The sequence below is a fragment of the Homo sapiens genome, chromosome 4 (genome assembly GCF_000001405.40).
Source record: "Homo sapiens chromosome 4, GRCh38.p14 Primary Assembly".
Lineage (NCBI taxonomy): Eukaryota > Metazoa > Chordata > Mammalia > Primates > Hominidae > Homo > Homo sapiens.
The window spans coordinates 174,502,294-174,522,504 of NC_000004.12; the positions used below are offsets into that span (position 1 = coordinate 174,502,294).

Here is a 20,211-nt window from a genome sequence, read left to right on the forward strand (position 1 = left end):
CATAATGGAACACCTTATCTGATGGCTGTTTTTTTTCTCATTCTTATGGGTGCCATTAAGTTATGCTTTAGAGTGTGACACGACATTAAAAAGTGACACATGCGGCCGGGCGCGGTGGCTGACGCCTGTAATCCCAGCACTTTGGGAGGCCGAGGTGGGCGGATCACGAGGTCAGGAGATGGTGACCATCCTGGCTAACACGGTGAAACCCCGTCTCTACTAAAAATACAAAAAATTAGCCAGGCGTGGTGGCGGGCGCCTGTAGTCTCAGCTACTCAGGAGGCTGAGGCAGGAGAATGGCGTGAACCCGAAAGGCGGAGCTTGCAGTGAGCCGAGATTGCGCCACCGCACTCCAGCCTGGGCGACAGAGCGAGACTCCGTCTCAAAAAAAAAAAAAAAAAAAGTGACACATGCTTTCATAAAACCACTATATATTCTATAACAAAAATCTTCCCAGAAAGATATGTTTAATAGCAATTTCTAGTGACTCAGACAGTTGCTACTAGTGTTCAGTCATTGCCTAGGCTGTGGTCAGAGGAAACTGACAGAAGCTCCCTTACCCATTCAAAGAATATCCATCCCTATGCATACTAGTGGCTGGCTTCTTAAAGTGTGGTTCAAGGAGCGGTATCACCTGGGAGCACAATTTCAGGAGCCATCTCTGTCCTATCGAAATCAGAATCTGCATCTGACAAAGTCCCTAGACATATTAAATCTGAGAAGCACTGTTCTAGAAGACTATTCGTTTCTCAGTAGCCCTCTCATTCCTATGTTAAGAAACCTCGAATCTCTCATCTATCCTTCAAAATGCCTCATTTACAAATATTTAATCATTCCTACTGATTACTTCTACTATGTGTCTTTTAAACTATTTTAAGCCAAAAGAGAGCAAAATGGACTCTGCAGAGTCCATTTGGGAGAACTTTGCCAGCACTAAGCAGGAAGGGTGGCTCCCATACTCATGGCAGTTGGCATCTGAGCACTTATGAATCACAGCATAGGAACAGTACATCCACTCTATGACACAGGCTAAAATGGAGCAAAATAAAATTGCTTTTATTACCACTGCTAATTCCCACATTCTTCAAGATCTGTTTGAGATTCATTGTTCAACTATAAATTGGAGATAATTAAATTGACCTCTATTGTAGAGACTTGTAAAAGTTAGATGTGGATGTCATAAAGCCAATAGTTTACCACAATGCCTGGAGCTTGGCAATTGCTCAATATGTGTTAGGCCTGCTTCCTTATCACGAGAGCAGTAGTAGAGGGTGGTGCCATGCGATTTTCTTACCTTTGGCCCAGAGATAGAAGAAGATGATCAATGTTTTATTTCACCTGGAATTTCTGGATATTCTAGTCCATTCTTCGGCTATTGGAGTCCCAAGGCCTTGCAACTTAAATATCATGCTTCTGGGTTTTTTGATTTTTTTTTTTTTTCTTTTGAGAGACAAGGTCTCACTATATTGCCCAGGCTGGAGTGCAGTAGTGCAATCATAGCTCACTGCAGCTTTGAACTCCTAGGCTGAAGAAATCCTCCCACCTCAGCCTCCTGAGTAGCTAGGAACACAGGTGTGCACCATCACACCCAGCTAATTTTTAAAAATTTTTATACAGATGAGGTCTCATTCTGTTGCCCATGCTGGTCTCTAACTCCTGGCCTCAAGTGATCCTCCTGCCTTGGCCTCCCAAAGCATTGTGATTATAGGTGTGAGCCATGACACCTGGCCAATGCTTCTGTTTAAACAGTTTATGTCATGGAAATTATTTGGTTCTGTCATCTTGATAAGAGACACTGATATACAGCTCTTGGGGTAGAAACTTTGCCTAGTTACTTTAATATCTCCATTTCCCTTCTGCAAATGCTCAACATATGTTTGATTAAGTTGAAATTTTTATTTAAGGTAGTAATTTTAGCACTTCTACCTTAACACAAATTATGAGCTAATTATATTATTATAGATAAAACTTATAGCACAAGCAGATATGCCACTGGGTTGTTACTTAAGACATGCTGAAAATTTTGTATGATTTTTAAATATTTTCTGGAGACTCCAATGTTTTGACTTCTGAGTAAATAAGACCCTCATGGTATCTCTCACAAAATGCTACTGAGTGACAGAGCATGTCCCTAGTGAACACCACAGCCTCACTAACTGAATATGTAGCAGGGTTGGTAGGTAGGCTCCTTTTCCTGTGACAATAACTTTTCCTTTCCCACAATCTGAAGCAATTAAATACTTAAGAACTGCGCCTGTAATCCCAGCACTTCGGGAGGCTGAGGCAGGCAGATCACCTGAGGTCAGGAGTTCGATACCAGCCTGGCTAGCATGATGAAATCCCGTTTCTACTAAAAATACAAAAAAAAAAAAAGCCAGACGTGGTGGTGTGCACCTGTAATCCCAGCTACTGGGGAGGCTGAGGCAGGAGAATTGCTTTAACCTGAGAGGTGTTGGTTGTAGTGAGCCGAGATCGCGCCATTGCACTCCAGCCTGGGTGACACGAGTGAAACTCTGTCTCAAAACAAACAAACAAACAAACAAACAAACAAACAAACAAACGGAGTGCATTTGACTCATGAGATGTTTTAATGGAGCATAGCTGTTTGATTATCTGCATTAAACCAGACTTCGTTCTTCTATTGTTCCTTCCAACTTTGTTTTAATAGTTCAGGATGGATGTGGCAAAATTAGTGTCTGTTTGTATATTATGTTTATAAATAAAAACTCGTGTAGAAAAGTCCATGTGGGTTAACCACACTCAGAACAACTTGTGGAACTCCAGACTAGAGCATACCCATCCCATAATCTGCTGAGGAATCATTGTCTACTTAACTACTCCTGTTTATTAAACCTATTAATTGCATTTGATACTCTGTCTGCGTCAGTGGTCATTACTCATTAACTTCTCTACTCAAACCAGTGTGCCAACTTAAGGTTTTACTGTGACAGTGAAGGACTCCACTGTATCCACGCTAGAGATCATGAGGATAGGCCCTGTTGAGTTGAATACTGAATATTACCCACAGCCATTCCTTCAATAGAGTAAGCAGTACAGAGAAAAACAGGAAAAAAAAATCTGTGAGGAAGCAAGGTTTGGAAAACACAGAGTAGGCAAATATTAGAAGTACTCTGTTAACTCCTTAAAGATTATTTTTGTGCTCTCACCTCTTCCTACATGCTATGACTCAAGGGCATAAAATTGTTGATACCATTTCTGAGGGAATGATGAAGACGGAGGGGTCCTCTTTTGCCTTCTCCCATTATTACAATATCCTGAATTTTTATCAAACTAATTTCATTATGGGAAGAATTGGAGGCTCTCCGTTGGTGGATAAAATACAAGGCAATTCATTTTAAGACTTTGTGAGTTGAAGGCATGTTAGTGGGAGCCCTGGATGGGAAAGGAAGTAGACTGTCCACATTGGCCAGTGGCAACGAGGAAACAGTATAAACACAAGAGGTGCGGAGGCTGGAATTACGAAGAGAGGGTGCCAAGGACAACTTCTGAAAATGGAGAGAGTAGTAAGCCAAGCAGAGGGAACAATGACAAACTTAAGCTATTTAACCATTTTACATAGTGTTGCCTTGTACATGTGGAGGAAAATCAGAGGGAGAAGCAGTTTGTAATGCAATATTATTCATTAAATTGTACCAGTGCCAGGAAAGTAATTTAAAACCAAAGCAATCTTATCACTGAATTTATATCAAGTCATCGTTTTATCTGCATGAATAGAGAAATGCCCACACATGATTGCAAATGTTGTATCTGACATAGGTAAAAAGAGGATTAACACCTGGGGTTGGCGGGAGGTGGCGGTGAGCGGGATGACAAAGCAAGCTCCTAGCCAACAAAGCAAAGTGGACATCAAATTGCAAGCCTTAAACTGCTCTGCTCAATGGCATGTTTTGACTTGTGACACTGGTAAGCTCCCCAGATATTTTTAGGACTTTACTGGAAGTATCAAATGGGGCAAAAGCTTAAGATTTCACTGAAGGTTTAGTAATGCAGCCATGAGATTAGAGCTGTGCCCATGAAGCCTGAAGAGACTAGCAAATTGCAAGGGTTTATTCAATTGAAACGATTTCAGTTGCTTTTACTTTTCTGTTAGGCTGGGATAAATACAGGTAGATTAACAAATAAATGCATAGATATTAGAGATAGATAAATAATCTAGTGGTTAAAATTCTAAGAAGACTTGTACCAGGCTATTTGCATGTGAATTCCAGCTCTGAGGCTTACTTGATGTATAAGCTTAGGCAAGATATTTCACACTTCTCCTGCCTTAGTTTCCTCATTTTCAAAATGGAAATTATATAGAGTTTACCTCACAGGGTTGTTGTGAGGATTAAATGAGTTAATGTACAGTGTTTAAAATGATATCAGGTAAACAGTGCTCAATAAATGATATTATATATTTGAATATTTTAAACAGATAAAAGGCAGTAATTCTACATTGCATTTCTTTATTCATGCTCTTTGGGGCAAGGAAGCACCCTCTTATGGTAAAGAATTTCTCCCAGATCGTCCTAAATTGATCCAACTCTGAGGCTTTCAGCCTTCCAAAGAATGAAATCAGTGCCTCCAGTGACATAAAGGCCAGGGGCTCCTTGTAGAATATTCATGGTACTCCAAGCTTTGCTGACCCTCTTAGCTTTATGAAAGAATACAGAGAATTATCAATCTTGATCACAGCCCCAGGTTTTTAAATATTTAAACTTTTAAGAAAATACTAAATATCTCTTTTTAATTCTCCAGTCACTTGTTTTTTTCTTATGATTTTATTTCAAAATAGTATAGATTTAGCTTTGCCAATTTGCTTTTAGGGTTTCAGTCTCCCACAGCTTAACATTTGGCCCTCTCTGGAACACATACCCCTTTCAAATATTGCCCGTGCGCTCACCTTTTAAAGTATCATTAGGATTAAAATGTTATAATTTATAAGTAGTTGTACCACTAGGAAAAAGAATCTGATTACCCTGAAAAATTTATAGAAATAGGTTTGTAATAGCTTTAGGGACATGATTTTGACTTTAAGCGACCCAGAAAATGAGATGCTAGTCTATTTTTGAGAACTTCTAAAGGAGATTTCTAAATCTCCTCTGGTGGCAGCTTTACAGTGATATAAAAGAACCATTTGATAATCATTCCTAGAGGGATGAGACAAATGCTGAGAATCAGACAGAGGTTCAATCACAGGTACCTCCAAACCCAACTTCCCAAATCACTGGAGCTGAGATGCCAAGGTTGGGGTGGGGTGTGGGGCTGAAATTTCTATTCTGAAATCACCACATTAACTAAAACCAAACAGATAATTTTTTAAAGTCTCACTTTTTTGGACAAGATAGCTTAGATTTGCTGTCCATGTTGATCAGACTTCTTAAACTTCACAATTTCACTTGAACTATTCAAGAATCATTGATGATTTTTTCCTAGAGTTTTAAAAAGTAAAGTCACTTGACTCAGTTGCTCCAAAAAGTCCAGTCAGAGGTTTAAGGCTAGTATTGAAGGATAAGATATCAGCTGATACTAAATCATACTACTCTGAAAATACTATAGTTTAGGATTGCATGCTGTGGAAAAGATGATTAGCTGCCCTCTGAAATCCATTCTTCTCTTAGGCACACAGCTAGACTGCATTTCCCAGACAGACTCGCTTACAGTTAGGTGAAACATGAGCTCAAGTTCTATACTGAAATGTGAGCAGAAGGTCTGCCATTACTGGGCTGGGGTTCTTAAAAGAGTAGCCATGCCTCCTCCATGTTCTTCTTCTCTTTCTGCTAGAGAAAAAGGAATCCAGCAGTTCTAAAGTAACCCTGGGAGCTCCCTGCTGAAGACGGCAGAACTTCTGCCAGCCAGGTTTTCAAATGTCTGCATACAGAAGAGATACCTGCAACAAGGATCTTGCCTCAGACTGATGTACGAGTTAAGGAATGTGCTTATACTACATGTAAGTTTGGCTTTATTTATTAGTTTAACATATCTTAACTATGATATATGCCATATTTTAAAATTACACACTGTTACTAAAATCACATGGGAGCAGAGACATCTTAACTTCACTTTAGTGCTTTTTACTTTGCCAAAGGTGCTTTCACATGCATTATTGCTTAGGAGTCTCACCACAACCTTTGAAAAATATTGGCTCTAAAAAAAAATTATATATATTTTTTCAAATATTACTGCAGTAAGATAACTTTAAAAGCCACAAGTTAAATTAAGAGAAATAAACATATTTTTCAAACTTTTGATATTTTGCAATAGAAAATTCCATGGAACTATAAAACGATCAGATTTTTAATTTCCAACTTGAGCTGATAATAAATATGCTTTGAAGATTTGTTTTTGTGGTCCAAATTACCAGTAAGAAAATGTTACATTTAATGTAATAATTGCCCTTACCTGCTAAAGATGACATATTGATAATGATGCCGCCTTCACCTCCATTTTGCTTACTCATGTAATCCAAACCAAGATAGGTTCCACTGATAACAGAAACCTAATCCAGAGGCATAAGTGAGAAAAGGAATACAGTCATTATCCTTTCCCATATTTTCACACACCAAAGTTTTTATAGCTATTCCAGATACCTAGGGAGATTTCTGCAAATATTATCAATGAAAGGTTTTAAAAGAGCTTTGTTTTTAAAGTTAGTCATTAAACCTGGATTCTTTGGGTTTGCCTAATCATTGTGGAGCTTGTCATATATCTGCAAAACTTCACTTAGTTGCCCAATATGAGATTTTATGCTACAGGTTGTATTCCAAAAATGTCTATTACTTTCACTCAATTCTCAACATCTTCAATAATTCCATATATTCTTTTTGTTTTCTAAATGTTGGATGCAAAATTTATTTACCCTTCTTCTCTGCATATGGTTCTCATGTCTCAGTATTCCACACTTAACTACTCTGTTTAATTCTCTTGGATCTTGGAATATAGAATAATGCTTACTCTTGATTTCCTAGAGGTTTTATTTTCTCCTTTTTTCTTTCTAATAAAAGTTCTATTTTGCTCCTGTATCTACCTCCTCTCCATATAATACGAGGAAGGTGATCTCCCCAAATTTAATGTAGACACTGATTAATTAATTTAATTCAGTCATGGAAATCCCATTCTCCTTGACAGTGGCTGGTTTCAGAGCCAGCAGGTGACCCAGTTTTGGTCAGTGAGACCTGGGAGGCAATCAGCTAGAGATGGGAACAGGATGGATGCTGCTGAGAAATTTTTTGTTGCTCTTAAGAAAACCTGAAGAAATGGTTACATTGCCTGCTTTATATGAATGTCGTAACTTAAATGGACAACCCCTATTTCCTAGTATCCTGAAGATGAAACCAACATAAAGAATGGTCGGTGGGAGGGATGACACAACCCTGGGCCCGATGATATCATTGACCTGTAAGATCAAGCAATCCTCAACTCCGTGTTGTGTGAAATCACATAAATGTTTTATCCAGTTTAAGTGGTGATTGTCAGTTAGCTGGACATCTGGTCTTTAGTAATGTCTATAACTAAATTTTATTAATCACTGCTTACAGCTATCCTTTTGATAGTTGACTGTTTTGCCACTTATATCCATGTGTAGGCACTTTTCCTGTTTTTGTTCAAATCACTACCAAAAAAAAAAAAGAAAAAAAAAAACCTGTGTGATCAAATTGATATTTCAAACCTTACTTTTCCTTTTGGATTTAAGAATTCCTATCCCTTCCAGCTCAGACTTTTAAAAAAGGAAAATTCTTTTTTGACATCTTAATTCCTATTTTTTTCATGCTTTACAATACTGCAAAGAAAACGATACAATAGGTAATGCGTCTGAAACGGAGGTTACACATGTACTTACCTTCTTTTTCTCTTAAAAATTTCCTTTTGAAGTTTTCTTTTTTTTGCAAGGATTCAGATATACTTCTCCTACCTAACAGTAGCTCTTGAACAAAAAAGGAAATTGGAGGTTCTATTCACTTAAGCCATGTGTCAATTTGACAGTAAGTAGGCTTAGGGAGAATGAATAAAATCTCCACATGATTTTCTTTAGAAAGGAAAACCAAAACATTAATTGTTTATATAAGAAGAAAAAGATGTAGATGGCTGAAATTAATGAAGCCAGTTGGATTCTGTTAGTTTCTGCAGAAGGCTTCAGCATGTCTGAACAGAATTTCTGTTCATGCGTATTGGCACTACGCTTTTATTCTCAGGTATTACAGCTTTGCTGACACCCCACTGTTGTGTTTTCGACATGAACAAGATGAAGCCAGATAGAAAATTTGAGATTTTTTAAGATTTATTTTTAATTTTTTAGAAAAGCAATATTTATCTTTAGGTCTTTGGTGGAGAAAGGCAAGGGATTATTTTTCTCATCCATTATCAGGTTAAGAACTGGGTAATTTTTCAAATGAAAGAGTTCAAAGGATGAATCTACAAGACAGGGTCTAATGCTTTGGCTGTGTAGAAATGACATTTTTCACTTTTCCTCCTTTACTATAACAACGTAGTCCTTATTCTAGATTATATACGCATGTGCACGTGTGTCTATATATTATATATTTCACCATGTTGGCCAGGCTGGTCTCGAACTCCTGACCTCAACTAATCCGCCCACCTCAGCCTCCCAAAGTGCTGGGATTACAGGCCTGAGCCACCGTGCCTGGCCAGAAAATGTAGATTTTGATGCTCTGGAAGGGAAGTGTAATTTATTGAATAAATTCTATGCAGTGGCACTGTGCTGGATATTCACATAAACTATGGTTTATTTAAGCGTAACAGTCCTTAGAGATAGGGAGTTTACCTTCCTCCCTGGGAAGCTCAATATGAGAGAAATAAAATAACAGTTTATAAATTATAGAGTCAAGACTGGATTCTAATTTTGACTAATCCCAAAGAAATGTATTTCCCAGGGCAAATCTTTAGTCAATAAGTGCATTTCAGAAAAAAAAAAAAAATGACTAGCAACATTCATTTATTTTGTTTAAATCTTATTTGAATATATTGACCCACTTATGCCTAGTGTTCCATTATTGGAATACTAAGCACGTGAGAGTTATTTATATCCTACTGTTCAAGGTCATTGCCAAGGTCTAATTTTTAACTCATGCAAAAATTCAAAATATTGCAACCTCTGGCATAAATGGGTTAAGGAATTCAACATATATTAGTTAAATGTCAAAATTAGACTGTAAGTTCCACATCAGTGGGGATGAACATATTTAGGTTTACAGAAACTTCAGAAAGTTACAAAACTACATGACAGAATTACCATTCCAATCAATATTCAAAGTTAAGTTTACCTCTGCCCAATTGCCAGCATGAGTGTTGATAGTTTTGCAAAGACTCATTCTTTCCTGAACATTTCTTTTTTTTAATTTTATTTTGTTTTTGAGACAGAGTCTCGCTCTGTCGCCCAGGCTGGAGTGCAGTGGCGCAATCTCGGCTCACTGCAAGCTCCGCCTCCCGGGTTCACGCCATTCGCCTGCCTCAGCCTCCTGAATAACTGGGACTACAGGCGTCCGCCACCACGCCCGGCTAAATTTTTGTATTTTTAGTAGAGACGGGGTTTCATCGTGTTAGCCAGGATGGTCTCAATCTCCTGACCTTGTGATCCGCCCGCCTCGGTCTCCCAAAGTGCTGGGATTACAGGCGTGAGTCACCGCTCCCGGCCTGCTGAACATTTCTTCTGTGTTCTGAACAGCAATACATAATGCTGCTGTTGTTGGCTTCAGACTAAGGAGGAAGTATAAAATAGCCTAATGGAAACCAAAGACTGGGAAAAGGTTTAGTGGGAAGAAGGATGAGATCAGCAAAGTGAAAAGTAAGGAGTAAATTTGATAAGGAGTAAAAGTAGAAGGACAGATGATACCGTTTGGAAGAACTAATGTATTTGGAAAGCAATGTACTGAGACATAGAAGTGAATACTCTCATGTATGCAAAATATCATATACAGGTAATGGCAGGTGACCCAGTAACTATTAACTAACATCTGTAAGGACACAAGACAATAGTTTTCTGCCTTGAAAGAACTTGTGGTTTACTAGCATGAATAGCATGAATTATGTATATATTTAAATAATTCTAATAAAATTAAAAAACTGGTAAGCCCTATGAAAATGGTATAAATATGTTGTATAATATTTTAGAAGAAGGAGAGATATATGGTAAAGTCTTTTAAGAGGTTACTCTCTGACATGAGCAGTAATACAGAAAAACATGCAAAAGAACAAACATGGAATTGTATAAGACCCAAGGAGGCAAATTAAATCCAGAGCAGAGTTTCAAAAAAGAGTTATATAAACTACACACAAATATTTGCATTACAGTAACAGAGATAATCAAGTTGGAAGTTAAATTATTGGTCAGATTCTACTCTTGCAACGGGTTTAGGTAGGAGGGGAAGTAACATATTTTTAAGTAATACATTGGTAACAAAGGTTCCATGGTGTTTTCTTTATGTAAACATATATCATCAGTTCCTGATGTGAAGCTGAAAAGTGGCCTATGTCAGCAGAGTCCCAAGAAAAATAAAGGCTGGATAAATTTCAATGGAGAAGGAACTAGGCCTGTTAGTTATAACTAAAGGATCACAATAAAATTCCCCTGGTCTTCCAGAATTTCCTATTTGCCCATGATATTGGCACTTTCCAGCTCAGAGCAGGTATTCACACAGGCTACATTAAAGCAAACATGCCCTCTCAGCTGGATGAAGACATCAGTCGAATTCTGTAACTTCGTAATATTTGCCTCAATATTTCCATGTTTCTTTACGTTAGCTGTAATCATTGCACACTGTTTCTGACAGCTGATTTTTCAGAGAAAAGACACAGCAAGTGTCCATTAGGAAGTCACCAAATACAGGAACTATATACTCTATTAATTTTATCTGTAAAAATATCTGTAGATATTACCGATGAAGCTATTACAAATATCAGTAGTAATGTTAAAGAGAGAAAGCTGTTGTGCAATTTGTGCTTTTTCACTGGGATAGCCTGGTTCAAAGAAAATCTCGTCATTTAATGTGGTTTTGGAAAGTGGCATGAGTCTATATTCTTAAAAATCCTTGCAGTTCCCAATTAGCCATATTTTCAAAATTTTTGTTTTATCAGGCTACCAAAAGATGTAATGAAATACAACTCTTAATAAGTCAGGGGTATCCTCCAAAGAGTAAATATAAAATGCATATTTTTTTTTTTTACCAGCATAAGAAAATTAAAGCTATATAATGCATTTAGGGAAGGAATAGAAAAAGAATAAAAACAAAAAGAAAACAGTAAATATTAAAGTATAAAACGGAAGAGTAAAAATAAATGGCTTAAACTCACAAATATTAAAAAGGCAGATGTTCCCAGTTGTGTCTAACTACAGATTAGAGGATTCTAAGATCTCACAATAAACCATCAGCAACAACAAATTTAACATAAAAGGTTGCTTATATTTTTAAAATAAAGTAATGGAAAAAGGTAGGTGAATGTGAATCCAAAGAAAATGATAGGGTACTAATTTTATATCTGAAAATATAGAATAGATTAAAAAATCATCAGACAGCAAATCAGAAGTTTAACTTTAAAAAAAATTTAAAAATCAATAAATTGCAATCATTAGCAACTTATGCTCTGAATATTATAGATTTATAATATATAGAGTCTAAACTTACAGAATTACTAAAAGAGGTAGGCAGACTGCCATTTGCCATTTGAGATAAGAATGCCTCTGTTGAGAAATGAACAGATCAAGGACATAAAAGGAAGCCAGGATATAGATGACACCCAAACCAAATAAGAACATTATAAGAAAAGAAAATTAAGGATAGTACAATTTATAAGTACAGAAGCACAAATACTAAATTAGGAATTAAAAAAATTCAATGGTATATTAAACATTCATATATCATAATAATGGAAGATTTAGCCAAGAGATGTAAGTATGATTCACAGACAGAATATCTCATTTCAATACATTTCTACCCTAAAGTAGAAGAAGATCACAGAACTGTCTCAACTCAGGAAAATCAGCTATCAGGTCTCTCCAAACACATGTATGTATATTTGCAATTAGAATCCCAAAAAGATTTTGAGGGAAGCTTGACAGTTTCAAGTTATTTTCAAATATAATGAAAGAGGTACACTGGAGAAAAAGTTTTAAAAGAACTGCAAGGAGGGTATCCATACTGTAAAATAGAACCTTCCTTCTTAATTAAAAGATTTTAGGTAAAATTCAACATCTTTTCATGTTAAAAAATCCTCAACAACATAGGCATCGAAGTAACATAAAGCAAACATCTTACTGAGTGGGAAAAAGCTGGAAGCATTCGCCTTGAGAGCTGAAACAAGACAAGGATACCCACTCTCACCACTCATATTCAACATAGTACTGGAAATCCAAGCCAGAGCAATCTGGCAAGAGAAAGGAATAAAGGGCATCTAAATAAGAAGAGAGGAAGTCAAACTATCTTTTTTTGCAAACGGTATGATTCTATACATAGAAAACACCATAGTCTCTGCCCAAAGTTTCCTAGAACTGATAAACAATTTAAGTTACGTTTCAGGATACATAACCAATGTACAAAAATCAGTAATGTTTCCAAACACCAATAATGTCCAAGCTAAGAGGCAAATCAAGAATGCAATCCCATTTACAACAACCACAAAAAGAATAAAATACCTATGAATACAGCTCACCAGCAAGGTGAAAGATCTCTACAATGAGAATTGTAAAACACTACTGAAAGGAATCAGAGATGTCATTATTAAATGAAAACACATTCCATGTTCATGGATAGGAAGAATCAATATTGTTAAAATGGCCATACTGCTCAAAGCAATTTACAGATTCAATGCTATTCCTATCAAACTACCATCATCATTTCCACAGAATTAAAAAAAACAATTTTCAAATTCATATGGAATCCAAAAAGAGTCAGAATAGTCAAAGCAATTCTAAGTAAAATGAACAAAGCTGGAGGCATCACACTATTCGACTTCAAACTATACAAGGCTACAGTAACCCAAACAGCACGGTACTGGTACAAAAACAGATATATAGACCAATGGAACAGCATGGAGAAGCCAGAAATAAGGCTGTACACCTACAATCATCTGATCTTTGACAAAATTGACAAAAACGAGCATGGGGAAAGGATGCACTATTCAATAAATTGTGCTGGGATAACCAGGTAGCCATATGCAGAAGATTGAAACTGGACCCCTTCCTTACACCATATGTAAAACCTAAAACTATACAAATTCTAGAAGAAAACACAAAGCACCCCATTCTGAAGACATGCCATGGCAAAGATCTCATGATGAAGTCTCCAAAAGCAATTGCAACAAAACCAAAAATAGATGGGACCTAATTAAACTAAAGAGCTTCTGCACAGCAAAAGAAACTATCAAAGCAGTAAGCAGATAACCTACAGAACTGGAGAAAATATTTGCAAACTATGGATCTGACAAAGGTCTAATATACAGATTATATAAGGAACTTGAGCAAATCAACAAGCAAAAACCAAACAACCCCATTAAAAAAAGGGCAAAGGACATAAAGAGACTTCTGTGAATACTTCTCAGAAGAGGACAGACACATGGCCAACAAACATAAAAAATGCTCAATATCACTAATCATCAGAGAAATGCAAATCAGAACCACAATGAAATACAATTTCACAGCGATCAGAATGGCTATCATTAAGAAGTAAAAAATAAATAAATAATGGATGTTGGCTTGGCGAGGCTGTAGAGAAAAGGGAACACTTATATGCTGCTGGTAAGAAAGTAAACTAGTCAGACACCATGGAAAGCATTTTGGAGCTTTTCTCGAAGAACTTAAAACAGAACTACCATTCAACCCAGCAACCCCATTACTGGGTATATACCCAAAGGAACATAAATCATTCTACCAAGAAAGACACAGCACTAATAGGGTCATCGCAACACTATTCACAATAGCAAAGACGGAATCAACCTAGATGCCCATCAACGGGGGACTGGATAAAGAATACGGGTAGGTATACAGCATGAAACACCACACACCCATAAAAAAGGAAATCATGTTGGTTGCAGCAACATGGATGCAGCTGGAGAGCATTATCCTAAGCAAATTAATGCAGGAACAGAAAATCAAATACCTCATGTTCTCACTTACAAACAGGAACAAAACATTAAGCACATATGGATACAAAGGGGAACAATAGTCCCCAAGGTCTACTTGAGGATGAAGGGTGGGAGAAGGGTGAGAGTGGGAAAACTATCTATGGGTTGCTATGACCACTATCTGGGTGATGAAATCATCTGTACACCAAACCCCAGTGACACACGATTTACTCAGGTAACAAATCTGCACATGTACACCCTGAACCTAAAATAAAAGTTGGAAAAGAAAAGCCAACAAAAATAATTGAAAAATTTAAAAAACTAAAAGAAAACTGTATTTTAGTTATCTGTCAAGTTTAGGGAGCAATTTTGTACTCTTCTCAAGGTAGGACTTACAGATTTGGCTCTTTTGTGAAGAAGTGTCATCCTCATTGCCTCTATCAAGTTATTATAGCAGTTAGGTAATTACTCATGGGCATTTCAATTTAAGTAAAAAATGTATTGACTAAGCACTATCTTCAAGATATTATGTTGATTACTGAGAGAGAGACAAAGAAAAACACAACCCAGTTCTTGTTTTTATGGAGTTTATAATCTACTAGGAGGATATCATGAAGTAGGAGGTCACTCCCTGTACCTTTATACATACACAGTGGCCAAATTGTACTCTACAATTACCTGCCTTGTAAGATTGGTGAGAATGACCTTAGCAAGGTCAGGGAGACCCCAGGCACAGCCTATTTGACATTTAGTTTTAGTTAACGTTTGATTTTTACTAAACTCCAATATCTTATGTCAAGGGTATTTATAGAATGAGGTAACCCATAAACTCATGACTTAATGGATAAAAGAGAAAATTTTATTTCTTAATTCTACCATTTTTAAGAGCTAAGTCATTATCAAACATTATGGAAATCACACACACACACGAACCACGAACTTTCAGGATAAAAAGTCCTACTAATTACAAAGTTCGATTGTCACTTTAATTTTGTTTTCTGTTACATTCTAGCATTTAATTAAGATTTACTTTTAAATAAATAAGTCAGCGGTTGACGAGCTTTTTCTGTAAAGGGCCAGATTGTAAATATTTTAGTCATTGAATGCCACAGGATCTTTTACAAATATTAAACTTTGCCCCTGTAGCATGAAAATAGCCAATGACAATTCTTAAATGAATGACTGTGGCTGTGTTCCAATAAAACTTTATGGACACTGAAAGTTGAATTTCATATAATCATATTATTCTTCTTTTGAATTTATCCACCATTTAGAAATGTAAAATGGTATTTTTAGCTTGCAGGTCATACCAAAAGAGTTGGCAGGCTATTTTGGCCTGTGGGTCATAGTCTGCCAATCCCTGAGTTAAGCAATCATTTATATTTTATTCATGCTTCTTTCTAATATTTTAAGATAGACTTACTTTCATAATTAAATGTCTTCCTTTTTATAAAAGAAAATGCTTTTATCCAGCTTTCTGTAACTTCCCTTTTTCAATATTGTAGGTCATTGTTTTGTTTCCATGACTCCAAGAACCTTTTTTTCTTTACAAACATCATGTTATTAAATAATTATAGACAAGAAATATAGCTAAGATAACTCACCAAATTAATTTGCAGAGTTTTTTCCCAGTTTTTCTCATTATTCACTCCAGCATTATTGACCAAAATGTCCAGTCTTCCAAAGTGGTCTACAACTTTTCTAAAAGTGTCTAATTATAAAACAAGATATTAGTGATACATTCTTATTTTCCATGTATACATTTAAATCATGTCCTATGCCATGAGAGGAATTTCAGTTTATTTACCCTCATAGTGAAAGTTACTAAACTCATGGGCTGAGTGTAATTAATTCCTTGTTTCTCAATGTGTGGTTTGTGGACTAGAAGCATCAATCTGGCAGCTTGGTAAGAATGCAGAATTTTGCAGACACCACAGACTAACTGAATAAGAATCTTAACTTTAACATATTCTTACATGATTTGTATGCACATTGAAGTTCTATAAGCAGTAACTTAATGGGGTACATTTTAGAGAACTGAGCTAAGATCCTAAGCTAAGAGCTCGTTGAAGTCAGTTAGAGCAAGCAATGTCTCTTAGTCCCTGAGAAGCTACTGAAGCTCTGTAGCTTAGACTATTGGTAAACATCCTTTTCCATAAGCCATATTAAATTCATAAAGTGTTATGTTAATACAAATATTCTTGTGTATTCAGATCTATTATGCATGTTTGGGGGAGTTTTTATATCTTAGTAAAAGTCTACTTTTCATTCAGTTGATTTTATTTGATTACTGAAACTTCGATGTTTACTATTTCCTTCTTCTTTCTCACTATTATTACTACTTCAGATTACTAGGATTACTAGTTTGTATAAAACTATGTTCAAACAGGATAAAGTTGGCATGGATTCTGAGGCCTGAATGTCTTTCATTACACTGTCCAATCACATGTCTATTGTTTCTCAAAGCAGCCTTTGACAGAGTTCTAATTGATTTAAACTGTTTCCCCGGGCCTTTGATCATTCATTCTACTTCTATTATTTTACACTATGGATAAAAATTGTGGTTGTTTTTCTACATGACGGAAATATATTCTCAGGTGTCCAGACCAACATATCAAGTCCTTAAAAAAAGTAGGTCAGCATAAGCTTTATTTTGATTGAAATAAATTCATATAATCATTAACAACCACCAGACATATTGGGGAAGACATGGATTAATCAGTTGCCATATAGATAAATTACTATGCTAGTTGTTTACTAAAAACATTTTCAAGATTTCCTAATATGTACCTTTTACACTCACTGTACGGGAATGGAAGAACAACAAACACAAACTGTTTATTTTTCATGGATTTTTTTTTTTTTGAGTCGGAGCCTCGTTCTGTCCCCCAGGCTGGAGTGCAGTGGCCTGATCTCAGCTCACTGCAAGCTCCACCTCCCGGGTTCACGCCATTCTCCTGCCTCAGCCTCCAGAGTAGCTGGGACTACAGGCGCCCACCACCACGCCCGGCTAATTTTTTGTATTTTTAGTAGAGACGGGGTTTCACCGTGTTAGCCAGGATGATCTCTGTCAGGCCTCTGAGCCCAAGCTAAGCCATTATATCCCCTGTGACCTGCACATATACATCCACATGGCCTGAAGTAACTGAAGAATCACAAAAGTAGTGATACTTAAATGGCCTGTTCCTGCCTTAACTGATGACATTCCACCACAAAAGAAGTGAAAATGGCCGGTCCTTGCCTTAACTGATGACATTACCTTGTGAAATTCCATCTCCTGGCTCATCCTGGCTCAAAAAGCTCCACCACTGAGCACCTTGTGACCCCCACTGCTGCCCACCAGCGGGCAACCCCCCTTTTTCCTTTACCTACCCAAATCTTATAAAATAGCCCCACCCCTATTTCCCTTTGCTGACTCTCTTTTCCGACTCAGCCAGCCTGCACCCAGGTGAAATAAACAGCCTTGTTGCTCACACAAAGCCTGTTTGGTGGTCTCTTCACACAGACGCGAGTGAAAGTCTCGATCTCCTGACCTCGTGATCCGCCCGCCTCGGCCTCCCAAACTGCTGGGATTACAAGCGTGAAGCCACTGCACCCGGCCTTTTTTCATGGAATCTTAAAAATGTTTCTTAAAATCTCAAATTGGGTCCAGAAAATGTCCCCCAGTATTTTTTTTTTCTCCTTCCATTCTGAGTATGTTCTAACTCTTCATAACTCCACAGAAACAACCTTCACCTTTTGGAAAATGAGGGTGTTAAATATGTATGTCTAATTGCCGCTTTAATTTTCTTTCCTCATTCTGTTCTCCACCGTATTCCTTATACTCTGCCCTTACCAATGTATAGTATACCATCTTGTTTTCTGACATCCCATTGAATTCCAGGCTCAAGCAACAGACAGTCTACCTCTTGCTGACATTTATATGCTATGGTACTCTTTGTAACTTACCTAAACTCTCTTGGCTGTGATTTGTTCATTTGGAAAATAAGTTATGTTTAGATTATCTCCAAGAAACTTTTCATCTCATATTTTTATAATTTCCACACTGTCTAAACAATTTTAAAAGTTATAGGCAACATTAAATCCTGAAACTGGAAGAATCAATGTCATGTTTCCTTTAGATGCAAGCAAATGCTCATGTCCAGACAACATGTGGATTTCTCATGACCAACATGCCTTCCCGGGTCACTTATGTGTCTGAGTATTTTTCCTCCTCCACAATCATTTATCCTTAAGGAATGAGTTTATAGCCAAGGTATTAATTTTAAATACTGGGAAAAAAACAATTGTAGTTAAATGTCATTTATGAAACTATATAAATTGAGACAGAAATGGCTTTCAGATTGTTTATACTGTTCCTTATGCCATCAGCATGAATGTTGAGATCTGACCTGGCTCTATCCTTGATCCAAAATATCATGTGCAATCAACATAATTGTCCTCTGGTACAATATGTTCCTCTTGCATTGTGTTTACAAATCTGTTCTGCTCATGCTTGTCATCTGTGTTATAGGTCTTTATTAGCATTTTCAGATTTCAGTTATGTAATTTCCTTTACAATTTCTCTTAACTGTTGGTACACCACTTCCTTCTAACACGTCAGTTCATTTTCATTCTCTTACAGAATATTTTAAAATTTTAAAATAAATGTACATTTGATGTCCCTTTAAGAACAGGAGCACTGGAATAAGATTTGCAAAAGTTTTCAGACCCCTTGATTAAAAAGTGCCTTACAATTTACTCAGTCTCTTTGAATAAAACTTTGTGAAATACAAATATTTTACTTTTCTAGTTTTTCTCCAGAATTTTTGTTTCCTGTAAGTTTATTGGGGCACTCTCAAGTTCTCCAATAGATGTACAAAAAAAAAAAAAACAGCTTTATAATCAAAGCTGTTTATTGTGTATGCCAATATTGTCCCTGATACTTCACAAGTAGATTGGTCTATTTTAAGTGAGTAGCCGGAAACAGGAAAGCATTGAGGAAAGGCTGATAGAGATGTTTCTACTACAATTCTAACATTGTATACTTTATTATGATTACTATTATTATTATTTTAAAGTACTGTCTCATTGGGGAAAAAGCCGGAGAAAACATATGGTCAAAAGCATCTAGCACTTCTGTGATGATGCTCCTTGAACTTGTATTCTGATATGTTTAAACGAAAAACACTGCCACATTTGATTGTCATTGGACTCCAGCTTTCTGGGAGAAGTTGTTTGTCAACAGTACCTTACTTAACCTACTTTAATTTTCCAAGTTTTGTCTGCAATTTCAATCATTTAATAATTACTGCAGCAGCACTGTCTTTGAATACATAAAGGAATTTTGATTACATTAATGCTGCCAAATGACTACAATAAAAGGATTTCTCCAGCAGTCTTGCCTTTCTTTCGGTTTTACAGCTATTGGGCTGTCAGAAGGAAACGTATCAGTCCAAACTGTCTTTTGGAGCTTCAAGGTAGCTGCTCTCGAGGAGGCAGCGGAGGCGGCACCCAGGGCCCCCTGGCCGGGCTGCCTTCAGGTTGTTGCTTGTTGAGAGCACGTTCCCAGTTGACAGATTGATTCCCCTGTCTTACCTCTCAGTTGTTGCTGGTCAGCCACATCGCACTGGATGAACAGAGTCTTCTGAGGTTCAAACTGCTCATCCAGGGCAGCTTTACACTGTACACCTGCTTCAAGATTCCAATCCACCAGCGCTACCTATAGACAAGAGGAGAGGAATCGCGGGCCTGCGCAGCTCACGAAATAGACGGACAAACAATAAACACACAAGAGGCTCCCCTCCTGGACCTGAAATTTGGCAATTAGGTTTGGGTTCCCTCCCAGCCACTTCTGAGGTGTGCTCACAGCCTCAGCTTCAGCAAATTTTGGAAGTGGCAAAGTGGGCACGCCGGGCGCGGCCTCCCTGTCTCCGCCAGTGCACCTCGGGCGGCGGGGCGAGTCTCGGAGTGTGTGGGCAGAGAAATTTCCGCGGCTGGGCGCCGGGCTTACCTTGGCGCCCTTAAGCAGCAGCGCCTCTGCAAAGGCTCTGCCTATGCCCTGAGCCGCGCCGGTCACCAGCGCCACTTTGCCGTTCACGTGCATGGTGCAGCCACTGCTGGGGCGGGCGGTGGGCGAGCTCCGCGTCTCCGCGCGGC

General features: G+C 37.5%; 1 protein-coding gene across 8 annotated transcripts in view, besides 1 other annotated feature; it reads right to left on the bottom strand.

The window, feature by feature from the left end:
- Positions 1 to 20,211, bottom strand: part of HPGD (15-hydroxyprostaglandin dehydrogenase) — a 32,719-nt gene that overhangs the window by 12,119 nt on the left and 389 nt on the right. For 3 of the 8 annotated variants that reach the window (NM_001256305.2, NM_001145816.3, NM_000860.6), the window contains exons 1-4: positions 20,066 to 20,195; positions 19,651 to 19,774; positions 15,678 to 15,784; positions 6,403 to 6,499 (exon numbers count right to left, since the gene is read on the bottom strand). In NM_001256305.2, the coding sequence (NP_001243234.1) occupies positions 6,403 to 6,499; positions 15,678 to 15,784; positions 19,651 to 19,774; positions 20,066 to 20,158 (421 nt within the window). In that variant the 5' untranslated portion in view covers positions 20,159 to 20,195. Of the gene's footprint in view, positions 1 to 4,449; positions 5,891 to 6,402; positions 6,500 to 15,677; positions 15,785 to 19,650; positions 19,775 to 20,065; positions 20,196 to 20,211 lie in introns of those variants that run through there. The other 5 variants (XR_938728.3, NM_001363574.2, NM_001256307.2 and 2 more) reach the window with 5 other exon arrangements.
- Positions 17,005 to 17,534: an enhancer, noted in NCBI's record as "NANOG hESC enhancer chr4:175440449-175440978 (GRCh37/hg19 assembly coordinates)". NCBI's record gives its function as "activates a minimal SCP1, AML or CMV promoter by ChIP-STARR-seq in naive H9 embryonic stem cells {active_cell/tissue: H9 hESC(naive)}" and the evidence as "EXISTENCE:reporter gene assay evidence [ECO:0000049][PMID:30033119]".